This window comes from Homo sapiens, chromosome 1 (assembly GCF_000001405.40).
Source record: "Homo sapiens chromosome 1, GRCh38.p14 Primary Assembly".
Taxonomy (NCBI): domain Eukaryota; kingdom Metazoa; phylum Chordata; class Mammalia; order Primates; family Hominidae; genus Homo; species Homo sapiens.
In genome coordinates, this window is record NC_000001.11 from 41,475,214 (window position 1) to 41,496,799 (window position 21,586).

At 56.2% G+C, this 21,586-nt stretch overlaps 1 protein-coding gene across 5 annotated transcripts, besides 8 other annotated features; it reads right to left on the bottom strand.

The window, feature by feature from the left end:
• Positions 1,719 to 2,425: an enhancer, noted in NCBI's record as "H3K27ac-H3K4me1 hESC enhancer chr1:41942603-41943309 (GRCh37/hg19 assembly coordinates)". NCBI's record gives its function as "activates a minimal SCP1, AML or CMV promoter by ChIP-STARR-seq in primed H9 embryonic stem cells {active_cell/tissue: H9 hESC(primed)}" and the evidence as "EXISTENCE:reporter gene assay evidence [ECO:0000049][PMID:30033119]".
• Positions 3,562 to 9,470, bottom strand: EDN2 (endothelin 2). Of its 5 annotated transcripts, XR_001737015.2 has the most exons (6): positions 9,325 to 9,470; positions 8,834 to 8,990; positions 7,253 to 7,375; positions 5,882 to 5,980; positions 5,488 to 5,662; positions 3,562 to 4,289 (listed from the first exon to the last, which is right to left on the bottom strand). XR_001737015.2 is itself a non-coding variant. In NM_001956.5 (5 exons), the coding sequence occupies exons 1-5, from the start codon at positions 9,386 to 9,388 to the stop codon at positions 4,196 to 4,198; spliced, it is 537 nt and encodes a 178-aa protein (NP_001947.1). In that variant the 5' UTR covers positions 9,389 to 9,470; the 3' UTR covers positions 3,562 to 4,195. The 5 variants fall into 5 exon arrangements, 3 of the variants coding, with proteins under 3 accessions (NP_001947.1, NP_001289198.1, XP_016856001.2); NR_126098.2 differs by lacking the exon at positions 5,488 to 5,662 and having other exon boundaries at positions 8,834 to 8,899; NM_001956.5 differs by lacking the exon at positions 5,488 to 5,662.
• Positions 6,742 to 7,728: an enhancer, noted in NCBI's record as "H3K4me1 hESC enhancer chr1:41947626-41948612 (GRCh37/hg19 assembly coordinates)". NCBI's record gives its function as "activates a minimal SCP1, AML or CMV promoter by ChIP-STARR-seq in naive and primed H9 embryonic stem cells {active_cell/tissue: H9 hESC(naive and primed)}" and the evidence as "EXISTENCE:reporter gene assay evidence [ECO:0000049][PMID:30033119]".
• Positions 10,577 to 11,776: an enhancer, noted in NCBI's record as "P300/CBP strongly-dependent group 1 enhancer chr1:41951461-41952660 (GRCh37/hg19 assembly coordinates)". NCBI's record gives its function as "activates an origin of replication core promoter dependent on BRD2, BRD4, P300/CBP, MED14 and CDK7 cofactors, with strong dependence on P300/CBP, by STARR-seq in HCT116 cells {active_cell/tissue: HCT116}" and the evidence as "EXISTENCE:reporter gene assay evidence [ECO:0000049][PMID:35650434]".
• Positions 12,214 to 12,463: an enhancer, noted in NCBI's record as "active region_866". NCBI's record gives its function as "activates an Ori minimal core promoter by ATAC-STARR-seq in GM12878 lymphoblastoid cells {active_cell/tissue: GM12878}" and the evidence as "EXISTENCE:reporter gene assay evidence [ECO:0000049][PMID:35858748]".
• Positions 18,818 to 19,348: an enhancer, noted in NCBI's record as "H3K4me1 hESC enhancer chr1:41959702-41960232 (GRCh37/hg19 assembly coordinates)". NCBI's record gives its function as "activates a minimal SCP1, AML or CMV promoter by ChIP-STARR-seq in primed H9 embryonic stem cells {active_cell/tissue: H9 hESC(primed)}" and the evidence as "EXISTENCE:reporter gene assay evidence [ECO:0000049][PMID:30033119]".
• Positions 20,942 to 21,490: an enhancer, noted in NCBI's record as "H3K27ac-H3K4me1 hESC enhancer chr1:41961826-41962374 (GRCh37/hg19 assembly coordinates)". NCBI's record gives its function as "activates a minimal SCP1, AML or CMV promoter by ChIP-STARR-seq in naive H9 embryonic stem cells {active_cell/tissue: H9 hESC(naive)}" and the evidence as "EXISTENCE:reporter gene assay evidence [ECO:0000049][PMID:30033119]".
• Positions 21,014 to 21,203: a silencer, noted in NCBI's record as "silent region_748". NCBI's record gives its function as "represses an Ori minimal core promoter by ATAC-STARR-seq in GM12878 lymphoblastoid cells {active_cell/tissue: GM12878}" and the evidence as "EXISTENCE:reporter gene assay evidence [ECO:0000049][PMID:35858748]".
• Positions 21,344 to 21,393: a silencer, noted in NCBI's record as "silent region_749". NCBI's record gives its function as "represses an Ori minimal core promoter by ATAC-STARR-seq in GM12878 lymphoblastoid cells {active_cell/tissue: GM12878}" and the evidence as "EXISTENCE:reporter gene assay evidence [ECO:0000049][PMID:35858748]".

Here is a 21,586-nt window from a genome sequence, read left to right on the forward strand (position 1 = left end):
CTTCACCCCCCATCCCACCAGCTACAAGGCCAGCTCCACCTCTGGACCTTCGTTTTGCTCTTGTCTGTCTTCCCTGCCAGGCTGTGAGACCTGAGCGGGCAGCCAGAGAGGTTTCCAGAGGCCTGAAGCCCTCATGGAGGGCATGCTGGGCATGGTAGTATTTTCCAGGGAGGCATTTTCTGAGGCTGTGGTGGGGGTGAAAGAGGTGGTGGCCTCTGCTTCCTAGAGCACCCCCATGCCAGATGCTCGGGGCTTGGTCTGGTGCTCAGGCATGCACTGCCCCTTCCTGCCTGCCCCTTCCAGCCGTTCCCAGGACCTCTCCTTTTACTCCCCAAAAGAGGCTGGGAATAGCTCCCTTCCTATGAAGACAGGAACCTTCACCTATGCTGTTTCCTCTGCCTGGAATGCTCTTCTCCACCCTCTTCCTTGACCGACTTCCCCCGAGTTGGCCTAGATGTCCCCATCTCCAGGAAGCCACCCTGGGCTCCCCCTCCTCAGGGGCTCCATCACAGTGTGGACATACCCTATTAGAGAGGTAGGATAGCACGGAAGTTAAGAGCCTGGGGTTTAAAACCCAGCTAAGCCACATCCTAGCTATATGATTTTGAGCAAGTTACTAACCGCTCTGTGCCTCAGTAACCTTTCCTATCAAATGGAAATAGTAATGACAGAATTTGCTACATAAGGTTGCTGTAAGGAACCAAGGAGTTAATATGTGGAAAGCACTTAGTAAGTGCTCAGTGAATGTTTGCTGCGATTCTTATCTTCATATTTAACTGTTGTTTTCTTGAATGACTGTCCTCTTGGCCTATGAGGCAGGAACTGTGTCTGTCTTGCTCACGAGAGTCCTCCCAGGGGTGATTATTCATAACTGTTGAATTAATGGATGGCCACATTCCAATAGTTTGTCACCGTGATTAGGCAAATGACTTTTCTGAACTGAAGACTTAGCTACCTGGACTCTATTTTCAATGAGAGAAAGAGAGAGAGAGAGAATTCCACAGGGCTCTTTCCTGAGTGAGGGCTGTGGAGAGGCTGCGAAGGGCCCCGTCTGCAGCCTCACAGCCCTGGACACAGGACCTAACTGCTCTCTGCCTCAGCTTCCTCCTGTCCACATAATCCGAATAAATCTGGGTCATCCTGTGCCCCCTTCTGGCCTGTCTCTGCCTAGTGTTCCAGTTAAAAGGAACACAAATTTGACTCAAAAAGCCTTGAAAAACGCTTGTTCTATATTTATGGAAAAGGCAGGAGGAGGGGAGATTTTGTCCCAGAAAACCCAAGTTTCCTGAAGCTTAGATGCCTTCTTCCCAGGGTTCGGTTTGACCTGGTAGCTGCTCCTTGTAGCTTTTTCTCTACTTCTTTCCAAACTCTAGCCCACCTTCCCCAACATGGCTGAAGTCCCAACTACCTGGAGTGTGGGCTGGAAGCAAGGACAGACTTCGGACATATGTGGCCCTGTGGCCCTGCAAACTTTTTGTCCCATAGAGAGGTATGGCTGGATGAGGGCCAGAACAGGGCCCCCCTGCAGTGCAGGGCCCCAGCCAGAGGCCCCTGTTTCCAAGGTGTATGGGTCTAAAGGACTGTAGTGTCACCCTTACCTGTCCCTGCCTTCTGGGCCTCCTCTACTACTTTAATCATCTCTGTTGCTCAATCATCTGGGTCACTGATCTCTGAACCCTGGCCAGGGTCCCCGGGGCCTGTGCCAAGGGCGGTGAATGCTTCCCTCCAACACACCCTCCGCCAGGTTTTCCTCATGCTGCTGCCAGGCCTCTGTCATAGCTGCGGCCCTAAGGCTGCCTTACCCAGCTGCCTGGCCTGGCCATGGGCTGTTGCATTTGAGTTTTTCAGGGGCAGGGTCATGTTGAATGGGAGCCTGTGATGCACTCCCAGGGAGCGAGGCTCCCCTGGCATCAAGCTCAGCTGAAACGTGAGAGGTGCGCTCTGGCCCTGGGCTGGAGTAGGCAACAAGTGCCTGGGCTGACCCCGTGACACCAGCCTCATCACCAGGATGCGCGGAGGATCCCTAAGGACTTATGATGACTGCTTCTCTGCCACTGGTCTCCTCATTCACTCAGCTCTGGCCAGCCCTCTGTGGCATATTTCCAAAGCTCAGCTCTGCCGAGGTCCCCTGCTGCTCACAGAGCTTTGTGGCTTCCTGTGGCCCACAAGGGGAAGTCGAGGCTCCTAACCTTGACCTTCAAGGCCTCTCTGGCTTTGTGTCCTGCTGCTGCCCCCTTGCCATGGTCCAGACACCTGAGGCCCCTCCTAAGGAAGCTTCTTTGTTACTCCCACTTCCATACTTTCATCCTCCCCGCTCCCTCTGCCTGGAATTCCCTCCCTATTTTCTTTCTATGTATTCAAGTCATTTGAGTGTTTCTTTTTCTTTTTCTTTTAAGCCAGGTCCTCCCTGTGGTGCCCAGGCTGCAGTGCAGTGGCACGACCATAGTTCACTGTAGCCTCGAGCTCCTGGGCTCAAGCAATCCTCTGGCCTCAGCCTCCTGAGTAGCTGGGACCACAGGTGTGCACCACCTCACCCAGCTAATTAAAAACATTTTTTTTTTTTTGTAGATACAGGGTCTCCCTATATTGCCCAGGCTGGTCTTGAACTGCTGGAGTCAAGTCATCCTCCCACCTTGGCCTCTTAAAGTGCTGGGATTATAGTCGTGAGTTGCCACCCCTGGCCTCTTTTGAGTCTTTCTATTTATTTTGCATATCTTTTGAGGCCACAAGAGTAGCACCTTTGTCCAGACTCTTCCTATGACCACCCACCTCCACCCCAGCTAGCCCCCATCTTGCCCCCCCATCAGGCCCCTTAGTTCTGTCCCCGTCCCACTCATTCCATAATCACCATTGCCAGCCCCACAAGCAGCCTCTGCCTCTTGTCAGGCCTTGGGCTGAGCCTGGTACCATCACTTCTCTGCTTAGTGCCCACAGCAACTCTGCGACGTGGGGACAATTGCTTCCCATTTTCTAGATGAAGAAAACTGAGGTTCAGAAACTGAAAGAGATTTGTTCAACATCATACTGCAGTGGTGACTCATGAATTCAATCAGCAAGTATTTATCATGTCCAAAGCCCAAGGTGAGGGGCCAAGCCAGGGCCAAGCTGTGGCTCCATCACAGCACCCCTCACTGACCAGTGGGGCACCCACAGCCTTGGGGTTCACCTGGTCTTCTCCCTCGCTGGACAGCTTTGCTCTGAGCCTTACTGTCAGCCTCTGCTGGGACAGAGCCGCTGGGGCGATGAGTCCCTCCACCCTCGTGTCTTGGCTTCTTCCACACACGCTCCTGGAAAAGGGATGGCCGTTGATTACTGGCCTGATGAGAACATAGCTCCTGGAATCCTGACGTCACAGCTGCAGGTGGCTGTCGAGGCACATGACAGACAAAAGCCCAGAGAGGGCAGGCTAGCAGCCAGAGACACCCAGCAAGGGTGGGAGTGGAACCCAGCGCTCTAGCCACCTGCCCCAGCCCTTTCCTTCTTGTGTCCTCCAACTTCCAAGCGGCCCCTTCTTGAGAGAAGCCTCCAACACCCTGCCTTGGCCAAGACAAAAAACCAGAGTATGTTTCCTCATTTATTATAAACACAAGTTCGCAGGTAAATAGAGGGTCTAAAAAATACATTAAAATAAATAATTGGGATTCTCAAAGTTCTTAGGGCAAATAAGTTATATACAGACAGGAAAAGCAGAGCAGGCCCTTCTCACTGGGAGGGTCCCGAGGGAATGAGGGTGCAAGAACTCTGGGGAGGGAAAGCTGGAGAGGACACAGCCAGCCAGGATGCCAGCCTCAGGGGAGCCATCCAGCCTCCAGGGCTGGCTGAGGCATGCGTGTTCGTGGCTGCACGGTTGCTCCTGGTTTGTAGCCCAGCAGACAGGACACTCCTCAGGACGCAGCCTCCAGATGAATGTACTCCCCATGCAGTTCTTCCAGCAGAGCTGTGGGCCAGCAGCCAGCACTGGAGGCTGCTCCGCAGTCTGGAGGCCGAGGGCTTCCCTGGGCAGTGCGAGGACACAGAACTGCCTTGGACGAGGCTCCCTCACCAGGGAGCTTGTGCCAATCCTGGCAAATGGGTCCAGCTGTCTGGGACCAAGGCCCCGGTCCAGGAAGCAGGCAGAGAGTCCACAAGCCCTGGCCACTTCTCTCCTCCTCTCTCCCCGCGGGCTTCCTTCCCAATGTTCCTCCAGCTCACGACACTATCTCTTCCTCCACCTGGAATGTGTGGACCGAGGCTCCCGCATGGCCTCCTGTTGTCGCTTGGCAAAGAGGCTCTTGACTGTGGAAATGTCCCTGGGAATCAAGAAGGGTCAACTTAGCATCTCAGGAGATATGGACTGTCCAAGAGCTCCCCATGAGAGCAGGGGCAATGGGGCTACAGCCCTTGCCCAGATCCTGGGGTCACAGCGGCCCTGGGGTCAGACAGTGACCACAGCCTGAAAACAAGGTCTGCACAACCAGCGCAGGCCAGCCCAGGCGTTGAAGCTTCTCTGCACATGGGGGCTTTGACAGAGCTAAGGTTCAACATCAAATGCTGCCAGAATGAGTGGACAGCCAAGCACAGCCCTGTGGGTCTCCCGTCATCTGCCTTCCCACTTCTTTCCACAGCTTTCCACACCTTTGCTCCTGCTCTTCCCTCCAGGCTGTGTGTATTCCCCTCACCCAGAAGCCACCTGCTACAATTCTACTCATTCTTCGAGGTCCAGTTCAAGGTAGTCCAGCCCAGAAAACAGGGCACCCCGCTGCCCTTTGAACCTGGCTGGGTGGCCACATCCTGGCTCAAAGAACTCTAAACTGGGAGCCAGGAGGCTGGCTTCAGTTCCTAGCTAAGGAAACTTGGGCAACAATCTCAGCCTCTCTGATCCCCTTTCTTAGCTTGTAAAACAAAAACAGGCCTGAACTGCTGAGAATGAGTACAAGGTTGGCCGAGCCAGCTCTGCACACTATGAAGTGTGCGCTTTTGAAAAGTCTTGTACTCATATTTTTCATTCTCAGAAAGTTCCTAAGTATATGTTGGGTCCCGTCCATCCCACCATCCTGCCTTTTCTCCTGTTTTTCTGCCGCCCCCAAAAGGTGAGAATCTCTGAAGGGCTGAGCTGGGCCCTGGGACCTGGCCAGCTGTGAGGAACCCTCAGTGACAGAAGTGGGAATGGCAAACCCCTCCACAGCTCCCACGGGCACAGACCCTGGTCTACACACTTCATGTGCGTCCACTCATCTGACCTCACAGCAACCCCAGGCGGGGATGGATGGCACAATTTCCCTGTTTCTCCTGTTCAAATCATAGGAACTAGAGGCACAGTGAAGTTGAGGGGCAAACCCAAGGTCACAAAGCTTGTACCAGGCTGGGCTGGGGTTCAGATCAAGCAGTCTGCCCCAGAGGCTGCCCCTACAGCCACTCTGCTGCCCGGCAGGTGCAAGTGTCTGTTCTTGAGTTGGTTTGGTTGAACAAGCATTCGTGGGCACCTCCTGGGGGCCAGGTCTGACTCACACTGAGGCACCAGGGAGGAGATGCAATCTGGGCAGCAGAGAGGGAGCAGGCTGGGCAGTTGGCCCCTCTGGACCCCAGCATGTGTGAGATGCTCCATTCAGCACAGCCTGAACGAACAACTGTGGTCCTTCCCAGTCATGAGCCTTCAAACCCTCTAAAAAGTCCACTTCCAGGCCTAGTGGTAACAAAGAGCACAGTGGGTAAGAGCACAGACTCTGGGGTCAGCCAGATGCCGCTGACTGCTGTGTGACTTTGGGCAAGTGGCTTTCCCTCTCTGAGCCTCAGTTCTCTTTGCTGCCCAATGAGGACCCAGGCCTGCCTCACATAGAAAATATGGGAAATGTGCAAGGCATACAGGAGGTGCTCAGTCTGTGCATGTGTCCCACGCCCTCACCTCAGCCTTTGGAGAAGCTCTCCTGTAGTGGCCCCTGTCTTGCCAGTCTGGAACACGTCTGCAGGGGACTTCCGGCTTGGGACTGCCCCGGCTTCAGTCCTACGTGAATAGCATTAGGGCCCAAGTGATGGACTGCCCAGGGCCCTGAAGCTACCTGGCTGCAGGCCCAGCCCAGCCCCCACCCCTTCCCCATCCCCACCTGCCTGCGGGAGCAGATCCATTTCCACCCCTGTGCACCTGGCATCTTTCCCTTTCCAGGTGGGGTGGGGACTGAGGAAAACTGAGCTACCAGGAATGTGTTCTTAGCCCCAGAAAGAGGCAGCTTTTTTGGCCTTCCCAGAATCTGGCCACCTGCAGCTGCAGGGGAAACTGAGGCAGGGGCGGGGCCTCAGCTTGAGACCCAGAGGAGGAGTTTCTCGTAAACCATCATGGGAACTGGAGCTTGGGATTTTTTTTTTTTTTGAGACTGAGTTTCACTCTTGTTGCCCAGGCGGGAGTGCAATGGCGCGATCTCGGCTCACTGCAGCATCTGCCTCCCAGGTTCAACCGATTCTCCTGCCTCAGCCTTCGGAGTAGTTGAGATTACAGGCGCCCGCCACCATGCCCAGCAATTTTTTTATATTTTTAGTAGAGACAGGGTTTCACCATGTTGTCCAGGTTGGTCTTGAACTCCTGACCTCAGGTGATCCACCCGCCTCGGACTCCCAAAGTGCTGGGATTACAGGTGTGAGCCACCGTGCGCGGCCGGAAGCTTGGGACTTTGAAGCCAGTTTGGTTTTCCCAAATTCTCCATGTGGGTGAGGGAAGGAACAAAGCCTCCCACCACTTTACAGATGGGAAAACTTAGGCTCAGGTAAGATAGGAGACATGGCAAAGGCTCCCCAGCAACTCTGGGGCCACCCTGGGATGGTGACATGGCTTCCCAACTCCAGATGCCATTTCTTCCCCGAGCAAGCTCCAAAGTCCCCCTGAACCTCAGGTCGGAATCCAAAGCCCAGTAGGACTCGATCAGACAGACTCAGGCCCAAGGCCTGGCCCTCCTTCTGACAAGCTATGCAGCCTGACGTGTCCTGCCCCCTCTCTGGGCCTGAGCTGCCTCAGCTGTCACTGGCAGACTCTCTCCTGCCCAGGAGTGAGGACATGAGTGTTCCCAGAAGCCCCCAGAGCTGGGCACCGGGAGGCCCCCATGGGTGACTGGTTCCTGCAAGAAGGGATGGTGCCATGGACCCAAAGCAGCCTGTGGGCCCCTGGGTCGCTTCTCACCCCCAACTTGCCAGTTCGCTCCTCTGCTAGTCTCCCAGACACCTGCTCCCCAGGGCATGCCCGGGCTTGCAGCTACCCTATGCCCCTGCAGGCTGGGTGCCCACCTACCAGGGCCTTCGAAGGCAGAAGGTGGCACAGGCGGGGTCCCTGGCACTGGAGCACTGACAGCGCCTTGGCAGGGAGCGGCGCCGGCGTCTTGGCGGGTTTCCCAGGCCGTAAGGAGCTGTCTGTCTGTGGGCGGGCAGCCAGCAAGGTAGTGGTGTGGGGTGGAGAGAAAGAGAGAGAGAGAAAAAAATAAAGAGAGAGAGGATTAAATAAACCACAACCATTGGCAAGCAGGGACTGTCCACACTGCCCACTGGGACAGCCACCCATGCCAGCAGGGTGCCAATGAAAGGTGACCAGCCCTTGACCTCAAGAAGTCACACCACTGAAGTCACAGGCTACTCCACAAGGGTCCTGGTAGCCCTTGGCAAGACCCTCCCCTTCTCTGGGCCTGGCTTGGCTCACTGAGAGCTCCCAGCATGGGGGCAAGGAAATCTGTGATCCTACCTGAAGTTGGGAATTGGGAACCTCCTAGTCTCTCTCCCCTCTCAGACAGGCTGGTCCCCCTGTTCTCAAAGAAGGCTCTCAGCTAGCTCTGGAGGAAGGGCGGCCACTCCATCTCACAGAAGTAAACACAGGCTCATAGCTAAGCTGCCCCCATCTGGTCCCCACTTGCCTGGAGGGGTAACACATGTGCCTTAGAGGCTTGACTTGAAAGTGGGGTGTGTGTGTGTGTGTGTGTTCAGATGGGATTAATTTCAGATTCAGAGTCTGATCAAGCGGGCCAGGGGAATGGCAGGGGCCCTGTGGCTGGCTAGACCAGCACTTTCGAGTGACAGAGCTAATTTTAGATGGTGTGGTTGGAGTCGCAGTGACTCCAGGTAGACTCAGCACGCAGGGACTGGCAGGGTTCCCGCCCTAAGCAAGTGTTTGGATGCGGATTAGCTTCACACACGCTTACGTGCAGGGCTTCTCTTGCCTTTTGCAATTTGGGGAGGGGAAAAAATCACAAACACACACAGAAACTTCAACTGAAGGTATGCAGTGGCCTGGAGGCAGTGCGGGTGCAGGCGGAACAGACAGCACGGGGCTCCCACCCGGGTGTAGCCAGTAGCACAGGGCAGGTTCTCATCTGTCGTTTGAGGGACTATCCTGCCTTATGGGGAGGATGGGGGGGCTCCTGAGATGATCATGCACGTGCAGTGCTTGGCAAAGAGCCTGGCATAGTCAAAGCACGGGTGCTGTCACTAATCGTATTATTATTGGAAGAGCATGCAGAGGCAGCATGACAGAGACTGTGAGCTCCGGCATTCCCCAACCGAGGATGGTGCCTACCCTTACAATTACCTGTGTGATCTTGGGGGAGGCGCTTAAGCTCTCTGAGCCTCAGCACTTGAATCTGGAAAACGGGGCCAACACTTGCTTACCAGGCTGTCTTAAGAATTCTCAGAAGACAGCCCTCTCTATGGCTCAGGTGGTCCCCACTCAGGAATTGAAACAATTAACTATTGATATTAGCCAGTGCCTCCATCTGGAGGCCCAGGGAGAGATGGAATGTGTCAACGTTCCCTAGCATGCCAGTAGCTTCCACCCTGACACCCTGCCCCAGAGCTCCCCCTGCCCCCAATCCCCATGGATGCTCACTCAGGAGTGTTCACCCAGATGATGTCCAAGTGGCAGAAGTAGACGCACTCCTTGTCGAGCCAGGAGCTGCAGGAGCAACGGCGAAGCCGAAGGTGGGTGCCTTGGGCATGAGATGAGGACGCTGGCTGCTCCAGGGTGGCAGCAGCCTGGCCCTTCCCTGCATGCACAGGAGGGAGAGAGAGGTGGAGAGGTGGGTTGGGGTGCCTGGCACATCCCAGAGTGGGGGACCCACCATGCCCCTCCTCTTGCATAATCGAGGGAGTTGGCACTCTTGCTGCTCAAGAGCTCCAGGCCAGCCCAGGGAAGTCCCAGCAGCCCGTGGGGAGCCTGGGCACCTCTGTATTTGCAGAACCTTTCCCCTGCCACCACTGCCGCCAGGCTCCCGCCCCTGTCTGCCCCCAGCTGGCTTGGGAGGCACTGCAGCCCTAGAGGGAGACAGAGATAGGCAGACCCAGGAGCTGTAGGCAGCAGGTGAGGCCAGGGCAGCTCACCTTCATGCAGGGCCACGAGCAGGGCTAGCGCAACGGAGCACCAGGTGGTAGGCACGGAGACCATAGCGGCGGTGGAGCGCGCAGGCTGGACTGGAGCAGGGAGTGCCTGTTGCCAGCGTCCTGCTATTAAGCTGAGCAGATAGCTCATTGCCTCGGTGCCCTGGCTGCCTCTTATACCAGGCACGGTGCCCCACCCCTTCTGGTCCAGCCCTGCCCCGCTGCACCGGCGGGCTGGGAGCCAGGGACACCGCCTCCTCCCCGGGCGCCTGGCCCGACCCAGCCTCTGCAGTGAAGGGGGGAGGGAGATGGAAGGCCCATTCCTCCCTCTGTGCCTGGAGCACCTCTGGGAGTCCTGAGGCTCCCTGGCAGTCCCCAGGGGCCCCTCGCAGTCCAGCTGGACTTCCTCAAGTCACCCCCAGCTGCCCCGAGCCCCCTCCCTCACTCTGTTGGCGGCTGCTCCACAGGTCTCGCCCAGGGCTGTGAGTGTGGAGGAGGAGGTTCCATGAGCAAAACCCCTCTCCTCGGAGAAGACTCTGCCATCTATCCTGCCTGCCCTCTGCCAACCAGGCTGAGGATGCCCCTCTGTTGTGTGGGATGTGAAAGGCCCACGCAAGGCTGTGTGGCCTTGGGCGAGTCAGAGCCCTCTCTGGGCCTGCCTCCCTCTGTGAAGGACACAGCTCATGCCTGACTTCTGACCAGCCTGGAACTGCTTCATCCCCACCTCACCCAGGAAATGCCCCCCTCAACCCCTGCCCTGTCACCCCAGGGCCTGGGGCAGGAGTTCTAGTCCCTTCCAGAAGCTGTTCAGCTATGCAGCCATGGCCAAGGGCATCCTTCCTGGGCCTGTTTCCTTGTTTGCAAACAAGGCCAAAACAAGAAGGTACTTCACCTGCTTGGCTTACAGGCTCCTTTGAGACTAAGAAGGTGGCTTCAGACCCCTTTCCAGAAAGATGTCCCTGAGGACACACACACAAAGCGCCCCTTGAACAGTCTCCTGTCCTGGCCATGACAGGATGTCTTGGCTTCCACCGGGGGCTACTGTCTGCAAAAGAAGTAAGCCAGGGGACTTCTCTGGGGACTGGCATTCTGCTCCTGCCCCTCTGCTGGCCCAGAAGCCTTGCCGGGGAGGGGAAAGCAGGGATGAACCACAGCTGTGCTGAGCAGCTCAGGGAACCGGCAGGCACCCTCTGTTCCTGCCCTGGCTGAGAGTCCACTTCCTGCTGGAGTCTTCTCAGGGACCCTGTCTCCAGGCACAACAGGAAAGGCCCTCTCGTTTCTTGGAATTCCCAGGGCCTGTGCCTCTCGTGCCTGCCTGACTCATCCCATTGCACTTATCTCCCCTGCAATCTCAAGGTCCAGAGCCCCAGAGGAGGCAGGGCCTGACACCTACCCTGCACACAGTAGGGGCCTTGCGAGTGCTTCCTGAGGGCAGGGGGGTCAAGAGATGCACACCTGGCTTTCCACTTACAGAACCCAGGATGCCCAATGCTCAGTTCCTGTATTCAGCAGCTCCTTTGTCCTTGGACATTTATGAAGGGGACAGTAGGTGACCACCAGGAACAGGCAAGTTTGCATCTTCCTAGGGTGTGCCCAGAGCAAGCGTGCATGTGTGAAATCCTGGAGAAACTGGCAGAACTGATGGAGGGTGAGAGCAGGATCTTCCTTCCTGGAGACTGAGCTGGCTCCTGTGAAAAAAACAAACAAATGTTTCCTGAGCACCTACTACGTGCTTGGAGCACTATCGACTCTTCCTCACCACAACCCCAGGAGGCAGCTATTATCACAGGGGAGTCAGCTCAGGACTGCCCACGAGGCTCAGAGAGGAGCAGGGCCTGGTCAAGGCCACCCAGCGGGCAGGTGGCTTGGTCTATCAAGCAAAGCACAAGGGACTCCCCGTGAGGTGCTCTCTGCCCTCCCACGTCGTGCCTCTCGAAGAATTTAGAAGAGTATTTCTGGAATGAGGTGAGCAATACTCACAGTCATTTCTATCAGCCTCTGCAAGAATATGAATACGGAATTAAGCAGGGCTGGGGGCTGCTTGGGGGTGGATAGAGAATTCAAATCGCTGGACCGTGAAGAGAAGAAAGAAGGAAAAGCAGGTCAGCGGGGAGACGGAGGGGGTCACGGTGGGGAGGAAAACAAACAGGGAGGCAGATAAAGACAGGCAGGGAGAGAGGGGGAGAATGAGGAAGCAGTGCGTAGCCAGAAAGAAAGAACTCAGATTTGAGAAAGTAAAAGAGGGAAACCATAGGGAGAAGAGGGAAGGTTATAAAGCGTCTAATCTTTACACAAATGCAAAACGCCTGCTCAAGACAATAGGGAACCAGAGGCTCCGAGCCGGGGAAACATAATAGAAGCATTAAATGAACCCAGAGACAGGATCCCTCCCGGGTGTGAAAGAAGGGTGACTACAAGGCAGGGGCTGCTGCCCGAGCCCCGCAGGGTCAGCACAGCCAGCTGCGAGCTGGGCCGGGCTCCGGTTTCTCTCCTTCTCTGCCCTCTGCCTGAGCTGAACAAGCAGGGCTCCTGTGAAATGGAGAGGACTGGCCCAGGAACCTAAGCGAGCACAGATCTTAGGGGATGAAGCCATTCCCGGAACAGCGCTGCTCCACTGACAAGAGTTAGTTTCCAGGTAGGGAAAATTAAGCTGAGTTAAAAATAGCCCCATCTCCCTGGGTCGCTTAGCCTGGGCCTCTGTCCGTTGCCTCTGCCCCTCGTGGCTGGTCGGACTGCATGACCCTGCCACCTATAACTGTCCTGGCCTCACTGTCCCTGTCCTTTCTAGGTGGCCTGGCTTCACGACCCCCTGGCCCCACTTCTCTGGCCCTGGCACCTGCCCGAGTTTGTTGAGGCTGCAGGGGGAAGGGCAGGGAGCCACCGAAGGTCACCCTCTCAGAATTTGAAGAGAATTGCTTTACTCGCTAAGCGATTTGTTTCCCTTATGCTTGCAGCAGCCCAATCCAAGAAAGAGGGATGTATGGGGAGGGAGGGCTGGCAGAAGAGAGCAGTTGAGTGTATTTCTGAGTCAGACACTGGGCTAGAAACTTCCCCCTAGAAATCCCCGTCTCCACTCCCATTTGGTAGATGAGATAACTGAGGTGCAAGAGGAGGAGCAACTGGCTCAAGACACTGATGGGGCTGGGTGTGTTCTCTTGGTTCCTAACCTGCCTCACCCTTTCCTGTACACCCGTGAAGCTCTCCCAGGGGTCCAAACTGAGCCCAGGATCCTGGGTCCCTTGGAGAAAGGCCGTCAGGAAGGACCCCACTGGCAGGAAGGCTGGGGCATTGGGATGAGGTTAGGCTGTCTCTCTGTGCACCCCAAAGCTCCCTCTATAGTCCCAGCTCTAAGAGCAAATATGGTCCCGTCAAGCAGCTGTCCAGCAGCTGTGGACACTGAGCTGAATGGAGGTTGCATGGGAGTGAAGACTAAGTCTCCTAGTGATGCCTGACACAACAGGGCTGGGCTGCAGCAGGTGCCTGGGATTGCAATCGAGGCCCTGGACCAGGAAGCTTTGTCCCAGCTCTGCTTTTCATGACATGTGGCCTAGGGCTCCTCTCCCTGGCCTCAGGTGTCCCGCCTTCCCATTGATGGCGAGAGATGCTTTCACCTCTGACTGCCTGTGACATTCAGGATCAAGCTGACCTGAGTTTAGAGCTCCCCAGAAGGAGGCCCAGGAGACTCCAGCAGCATGGCTCTTGCAGCTTGAGCCCTTCTGCTCCTTCACCTGTGCAAAACCAGTCATTTCCCCATCGACACCTGGCCCCACCGGGTTTTGGGAAGTTCTGTTTGCAGCCCCAGTAGAAGGGACACAGTGTCTTTGCTGCAGGCACACACTGTGCAGACGGCCTAGCAGAGCGAGCAGCTGGGAAGAGGGGCTGGCCGGGGGAGATGACAGGAGCTTGCAGGGGCTGGGGGTTGGGGAGGGTTTGGCCCTGGAGCCGCCTGGGCTGGGGCTTAGGGACTCAGGAGACTCAAACATTCCCATCACCACTTGTCCCAAATGCTGTGGGTCGGGCTGCCCCCACTCAGGCCTGGGGCCACTCAGCCTCAGGGCCTCTTTCTGGTGGGTGGTCTGGGCTTCCTGCCATCAGCCATAGCTCACCCTGAGCCAGTAGGACCAGCCACTACCCACACCACTGTCCTCAAACTGGGTCTTTGCAAGGGCAGCCTCAGCCTGCGGGGCCGGCTCCCCTGGTCTCCATGGCTTCCCTTGGAGGACACCCTTGGTCCTCTTCCCTCTGTCTCAGCCCATTTGGAAAGATTTATATCTCCCACATAAACTGTACTTTCAAAAGAATAATTCATGTGCTCTCTTTGTTATCAGTCTAAGGGTAATCAGAGCAGGGTCAGCCAGGCCTATGAAACTGCTGGAATTTCAGCCAAAAGCAAACATGGTTCAGTCAAGACACTCTTGTTAAGAGGCCATGTAAGTCCTCCTGGACTTTTTGAAATGAGGAAACTAACTCAGGACTCAGCATCTAGGATGGAAATCTCTGGACTCCAAGGCTTTGAGTTACCTCTAATGGGCTAAGGGCCAGATTCCCCACTTAGCCTTTTAGGAATAGAGGATAAATAAGCATTTATTGAGCATTGAATATATTCTGAGCCCTGTGCTAAGTGATTTAGGTATATTAGCTTCGTGAACTGTCACAACATACCTGTGGGGTAGTTACTATAATGAGTCCCTGTTTTATAAATGAAGAAACGAGGCTCAGAGAGGGTGACTTGCCCCATGTCAGACAGCTAGGAAGTGGCAGAGCCAAGGTTAGAAAGCAAGTCAGTGTAGCTCCAAAGCCCGGCCCTGAGCCTACGTGTCCCCAGTGTGCTTTCCTGACACCCAGCCCTTGGGGAGCCCTCCCGCCTCACAGCAACTCTTCTCCAGGGCACACTTCCCTGCTCTCAGCAGGCAGAGAGCCCTAGGCAAGAACTTTTCCCCTTATGCTTGTCTGCTATGGGACCAACAATCTATACCATGCCTATCCAATGATCCTCCCATCTATTCACCTACCTACCCATCTATCCATCAATCCACCCATCCACCCGTCCATCCACCTTTCCTCCCAACCACCTTCTTTCTATCCATTGATCCATCCATCCATCCATTCATCCATCCATCCGTCTACCCACCCATCCATCCACCTTTCCTCCCATCCACCTTCTTTCTATCCATTGATCCATTGAGCCATCCATCCATCCATCCATCCATCCATCCGTCTACCCATCCATCCATCCATCCACCTTTCCTCCAACCCACCTTCTTTCTATCCATCGATCCATCCATCCATCCATCCATCCATCCATCCATCCATCCGTCCATCTACCCACCCATCCATCCACCTTTCCTCCCATCCACCTTCTTTCTATCCATTGATCCATCAATCCATCCATCCATCCATTCATCCATCCATCTGTCCACCTACCCACCCATCCATCCACCTTTCCTCCCATCTGCCTTCTTTCTCTCCATTGATCCATTCATCATCAAACCTTTTATTCATCCTTCCGTTCACACATCTACTCAACCAGCCTCCCATGCACCCATCCTCCTTCATGAGAAACAAGATTGGACAGATTAGGAGGGTCGAAGCTTGAAGAGCTTTGAATGGTATATTACGCTGTCCTGGAAACATTATTTGGTTGCTTCCTAGAGCTGGGTGTGTCTCCCCATTGATATGATGAGCTAACTGAAACATGGTCTTCTCTGGAATTCCCGCCTCAGAGCCTAGCATGGGCCTGGACCCATGATCTGTGCCAAACACTGGGGTGAAATGAAATGCAACTAGATGGCTTCATCTCACCAGACAAAGCTTTGCATAGACACCCCTTCTAAGGAGGTCTAGGCCCCTTTTCCCATCTGATGCCGTTCTTCAAAATGCTCTAATGATGAAGACTTGAGATCATATTTAAGGAAAAAGTCAGAGATGAAAGGGCCCTTGGTCTACACCCAGATGATGAAGCTGGGGTCTAGGGAGGATGCTGCCAGAGGTCTCCCTGCCAGGCCTGGGTCCTGGAGACCCAGGATGTCTGCATGCTTTTCTCTCTGAGGCCTAGGCCCCTGTGCTCAGAGGGGCTGGAACCCCAACCTTCTCCTCTATCCCACCATCACCACCAGCCAAGACACGTAGCTGGTATTTTTTCAGAGTCACACCCACTGTGTTGCTTAGAACCGATGTTTTCCAAGGCGCACCCAGGGCCCCACCAGGAGACCGCCTTTCCCCTCTGGGAAAGGGTGAGCCACCAGGAGGCTGGGCCACGCAGGAGTACGGTACTTCATGCTAGAATGAAATGTCAGCTAAAAATAAGTGCTTGGTGCCTCTATCATCAGGATAACTTGGTGCCCAGGAGGCAGGCAAAGCCAGGGTTCCCACTGTGATTTTAGGCCAGCATTCCTAAGCAGAGGTGTGCCTGGGGCACCTCCTTGCCTGAAGGCCTTGGCCTTCCTGCGCAGCTACTGGGAATCCTGAGCCATGAATGACCTAGATGGGCACAGCTGGGCCCTGGTGGACAGAAAGGTGGTCAGGAGCTGAAGCCACTGTCCACAGGGAGCTCAGGGTGTGGGGGTGAGTCAGAGGCCAGCCCACCCTTGGCACCTCTGAGGGTTGGCAGATCCAGGTTCCAGCTTCAAAGCTCTGTGACTCAGGCTTGAATCCCTCCTCACCCACTGTCCCATTATGGACAAGTGCCTAAGACTGTGCCAGGCCAGGGGGTAGTCTGGGCTGGGGTTTTCCAGTCTGGGGGCTGGTTCTGTGGGTCACTAACCGTGTAACTAAGGGCACACCATGGTTTAGTCTTCCTGAGTGTCAGAGGCCACATTTGTCAAGAGCATCGAAGAAGAAAAATCCCACCTGGCAGCTGCTGGGAGTGCTTCATGGTGGAGCCAGTGTGAGAGCTGGCCTCTGCCTGGCTCAGGAAGGCACTGCCCACCCACTTCTGCTTCCCTTCCCCACTCACCTTGGGATGCAGGGTGCTGTGGGCCTTGTAGTGTGGACAAAGTCCTGGAAAGAAGTGGTGTGTGTGTGTGTGTGTGTGTGTGTGTGTGTGTAGGGTGTTATTAGAATGTGCCATCTTCATGCCAGGGACCAGATCCCCACGACAGGTCCCTCCTCTGCTCTGGGTCACCAAATCCCTCCAAGGCAAGTGGCCACCCTGGCTTCCGCTGCCCACTCATGTTTGCTTTGGCACACCATTCAGCGCCACACCAGACGAGAAGTGTGCGGAGATTTGGGAGGTTTCTAGGCAAAGCTGCCTTCCTGCAAGAACCAGGCTTCAGCTTGAAATCTGTGGTCTGATCCCAGCTTGGCACCAGGGTGAAATGTCTCACCAACTCGAAATGCCCACCCTGGCATTGGACCTGCCTGGGTTCTGACCCTCAGCTGTCTTTCCTGCCTCATCCCACTAAGGCTGATCTGGGTGTCCAAGACTTTAGTCCACCAGACCCCAGGGTGGGCCACACTCTGAATGCATAGCGGACTTCCTCACCTTATGCCTCTGGGCAAGCTGGGGCCTCCCATCCTCTTTCCATTCCTACTTACTTGGTTTACTCTGACCATTCTTCCAGGCCCGTCTCAAATGTTACCTCTCCCAGGAAGCATTCCTAACTCTGTCCAAGCATCTTCAGTGGACAGATGAGCTCTGAGACTCCTAGAGGGCCTTCTTGAGACTGGGAAGTGAGGGTGTCCTGGCTCCAGGCAGGCAGCTCCCAGGCTGGGAAGAGGGGGACATGGAGTTGCAGGCTTGGGCTTGGCTTCTGGCTGGGTGGCTGCTGGCAAGCCCCTTCTCCTGTCTGAGCATCAGCTCTGTCCTCCATGAAGTGACGTGGCCCTGGTGGTGACTTGGGGACTAAAGCGTGAAGTCAGCAGCAGCCCAGACAGACTTCTTAGAGCCTTTGCACCTACCTGGGTAAGTTTAGTGCTCGGCCTGCAGAGGGCGCTCCAGAGGGACAGAACCCCAGAAGCCCTTCCCTGATGCTACTCCATCAGCAACAGGAGAGGCCGGCCATCTACTCGCCACCTCCCCATCGTGCACTGAAACCAACCTGGCCTACTGTGTGCTATCATAAGAATCTATGTGAATCATAAGAATTCATCATAGCTACTGTTTACTGAACTTTCCAGTGTGCCAACACTTACAAAACCCACTATATAATACATATCATCACAATTAATCATCCCAGTGGGAAGGCACTTAGTATTATTCCCATTTTATAGATGAGGAGCCTGAGGAAGTGAGGAGACTCAGGAGGTGAAGTGGCTTGCTCAAGGTCATTTGAGTCTAGATCTCCCTGCTACATGGCCTGCATTCTTATCCACTATCCCAGCACATATGATCCCAGGTAGAATTTTCATAGGATGCAGCTTATTATTACCTTTAGTTTTCAGATGGGTAAACTGAGGTATCTTGTCCATCTAGCAAGAAAGGAGCTGGGATCTGAACCTAGGTCAGCCTGAGTTCTTGGCCTCAGCACGAAACCTCAATTTGGATTTTCTTGTCAGAACCAAAGAGTCCCCCAGAACAGGTCCTGGGGATCGACCTCAGGGCCTGAGTCTAGGGGCAGCAGGAGAAGTTCCTCCATCCCTCAGCCTGGTCCCAGCCTCTAGGAGCACGATCTCTGGGAGCTTGCCAGGAGGAGCCGGCCGTTAACGCAGTGTGCTGGGTGGTGAGGTGAGCAATGACTCAGGGTGGGAGGCCCTGAGCGGGGAAGGCACACAGTGGAGACAGTACTTGCCTGGTCACACCAATCCTGGGGTCCCCTAGGAGGAGGAGGTTTGGGTGAGGCAGGGCTGAGTCATGGCAGTGAGGTCAGACAGGGAGCTGGGGTGGCCCAATGATCTCACACCTTCATCTGGGCCTGTCAAGGGGCTGTGGGCCCAGGTGGGCCTGGTGGGCCCAACCTGGCAGAACAGGCACACCCCCTCCTTGGTTGTCCATAGCCAGGGGGTATCTGTGAGACCAGAGGGTCTCCCTTTAGGCTTTCTAAGGCCTCTGTTGCTGGAGCCCCTAAACCCTGCCAGATTGGGGAGGCAGCTGGTATAGGAGGCAGAGTGGGGAAAAAGGGACAGAATCTCACTCTGCCCCTTAGGATGTGTGCCCTGGGCAGCAATCACAGCTCCTTGAGCTTTGGCTTCCACTCTGTCCCATGGGTTCATGTGAGCATCTCAGAAGCTGATGGTCTTGTCCAAGCCCTGGCACATAGCTGAAGCTTGGGAGAGGCAGGTGGAAGAGGGGATGGCCATCACCAGCCAGGAGCCCACCAGAGAATGGGGGGCTGTAGCAGACTGACCTCGACCACCCTGGCCCAGTGCCACACCCCAGTGTCCTGGCCACTGCCTGTGTGGCCTTGGGTGAGAGCCTTCCAATCACCGGGCCTCAGTTTCCCAATGTATCAAATAAAAATAATAGCCTCAGACTCTCAATAGGAGATAGGGGATGATGTCGCAGGGTTCCTGAGAGTTCCCACCAACCCTGTGTACCAGATATGGTGGGGGTGGGGCGGGGGCGAAGAGAGCCAGAGCCAGAGCCATTCCTCTGGGGCCCAGATGCAGTGGGTGAGCCCCGGCCATGCCACTTGGAAGTTAAGCCTGGGAGCCTTGGGAGTCAACCGCTTGCCCCCCACCCGGCACTCCCCAAGGCTGATCCAGAGAGGCTGAGGGTGTCCAAGGTCACACAACAGCCAGCTGATGTCCACCACCTAAGGGGAGGGGGCCTTTATCTCCCCAGATAAGAGGGCCTGAGTGGGCTGGGAAGGCCTCGTGGCCTCAGATATGGGTGGAACCTGGGGGTGGGGAGTGGAGGGCCAGAGCCTGGCTGACCCATAACCATAAGGCAACCGCTTCTCCTGGTACCTCCTCGGCCTGCGTCAGCGAGGGGCTGTGGATGCTTCTGAGTTCATTGCCTGCCACCCAGCCTTGGAACCCAGGCCTCAGGCACAAGGGAGGTCTGTAATAATGACCCGGTGAGAATGACAGCTGTGTGGGGAGCTGTGCCCACGTGCCAAGCACTCTTCTTGCCTTCATTCATCTGGTCCTCCAAACAGCCCTAGGAAGAGGGCAGGGCCTGGGAGTGAGCTTCAGAGAGGCTGCATAAGCCGCCCAAGGTCACACAGCCAGGGGTAAAGAAGAAGGGTCTTCAGCTCCACGGCTATGCTTTCTGCCATCATGCAGCAAACATGCCAAGCCCACTCTGTGTCAGGCCCAGGGCTGGGGCTGTGGATCTCTGGCCCAGCTGGGATTTGGGGAAAGGTACCCCAAAGGCATCACTATTTGCCTGGGAGAGGGAGCTGGGAGTGTGTAGGGCCTTTCCGTGCTTGGCTCTTTGTTGGCCAAAAGGGAGGGACAAATATGGACCTGCAGAACCCCGGAGGAATGAGGGATGCCTCTGCCTGGAGACTCGGGAGGGCATTCTAGCCAAAGAGACTTTGAGCGAGGCTGTGGAGGTGGAGCGCGCATTCCTGGTAGAGGGATGGCCCAGGCAAAGGCCGGTAGGCCTGAAAGGGCATGAAGTACCCCAGGATAGGGAGTGAACAGCCTGAGGGATTCCGTGGTAAGAGAGGAGGTTGAGGCCAGACCACAAGGATCTTGAATACCAAGCGGAGGACCTGACCTTTTCCTGAGTTCAAAGTGGAGTCAGAGGAAAAGGTGAGGGTGGGGGCAGTGGCCTTGCATCTGTTCTGTTGAGGCCTAGGCCAGGTGGTCTCCAGCCAGTGGGCGTGGGGTGGGTTCCTTTGGACTCTCAGAAGGGCCCCAGGTGGGTGACGCCACAGCCCAGTCTGTCTTGGCATCTGAGAACAAGGCCATCTGCTGGCTGCCTCATTCCTGCAAACTCAGGGTCAGAGGACCTCTGATGAGCCCAGCACCCCACAGCTCCAAAGAACTCCACGGTCTCTGAAACCAGGCTGCAAGGGCGAAAGGGGAAAGGCTGGCAGAGACATCCTGGGCAGGGCCCCTCCCACTACCTCATTTTCCAGCTCTGACAAGTGCTTACCCTGTGGGGGACAGGCAGCTCACAGCTCGGAAGTCGCCTGGCTGCCCTAAGGAGGCCCATCCCAGTATGGCCCTGCCCGGCGGGGCTTAGCTCGCCCTTCTCTATACTTTGGTGTTGCCCGTATCACCGGAGGGTGCTGGGGACGCAGGTTTGTTAAACCCTTTCCCTCTTCCTTCCACCAGACAGTAATACTTGGATCCTCACTTGTGATTTTCCCAACAACCCCTGGGGGGCCCCCTTCTGCCGGCACCTACTTGATGGGTAAGAGAATGGAGGCTTAGAAAGGGACGCATCCCGGAGCCCCACGGACCAGTCTCAACCACCAAAGGGCAGGGAGCCTGGAACCCTGCGGGCCACAGGCTGCGCAGCTCACTTGAGGGGACACATGTAGATTCTGAAACCTTACAGCCCGGGTTCAAATCCTTGCTCTGCAGCTGACTAGCACCTCACCTCAAGCAAGTCAGTGTCCATGTCTCATTCCCTGCCTGGAACCGCCTTGTGCCTCAGTTTCCACATCTAAAATGGTGATGCTAATAGCACCTTCCTCGGGGTAGGTGTGCGACTTAGGTGAGATAACTCATACCAAGTCCTTACAGCCGTGCCTGGCAAATGCCCCCTCGGCAGATGGAGAAAATGAGGCTGAAAGAGAAGAGGGGCCCCCCGGCAGGGATTCGCCCCCCGCCACGGGCCCCACGGCCGGGCGGTTCCTGCAGCTGCCTCTCCCTCTCCGACGTGTTTGGGAAATCCTCGGGCTGGGGGCCCGAGCGCGAGCAGCCGCGGCGGACCTGCAGGCGGCGGCGCTCGGCCCGCCCTCGCCTCCCGACCAATTTTGGGCAAAGCAGGGGCGGCGGCGCGCTACGTGCCGGCCATGAGTCAGCGCGCAGGAATGCGCAGGACGCTTTGTTCCCTGCGCGGCGGACGAACGTGCTGGGACCGGGGCGCGGCGGGGCCTGACACGACCGCACGGGCAGTACGGCCACGTGCGCCCCCAACCCCACCTCCGAACCGCAGGGCCACCCGCGCCTCGCCTTCCCCTGGGGCCCGGACCCCTGCGGGGGCCCTGAAAGCCCAGCCCGGACTCCAGCAGTCCCCGGGGAGCTCCGGCACCCTCCCTAAGCCTCGGGCCGGGGGGGTCTGGTCTGAGTGGTCCTGGCCGCCCAAGCCCCTGGGTGGCTCGCAAAGAATCAGCAACTGCGGGGAGGGCTGCCCAGGAGGAGGGGGGGAGCTGCCCCAGAAAGACTGGTGGGAGGCACGGAGACCTCGAGCGGCCACAGCAAGACC

Bases quoted from the DNA above. Each gene is read 5' to 3' on its own strand.
- EDN2 (NM_001956.5), bottom strand. From the start codon at position 9,388: ATGGTCTCCGTGCCTACCACCTGGTGCTCCGTTGCGCTAGCCCTGCTC. The intron at 7,376-8,833 runs GTGAGCATCCAT...GCCCGCCCACAG, and splicing joins ATCTGGGTGAACACTCCTGA to ACAGACAGCTCCTTACGGCC. The intron at 5,981-7,252 runs GTAGGTGGGCAC...CTATTCACGTAG, and splicing joins TTCTGCCTTCGAAGGCCCTG to GACTGAAGCCGGGGCAGTCC.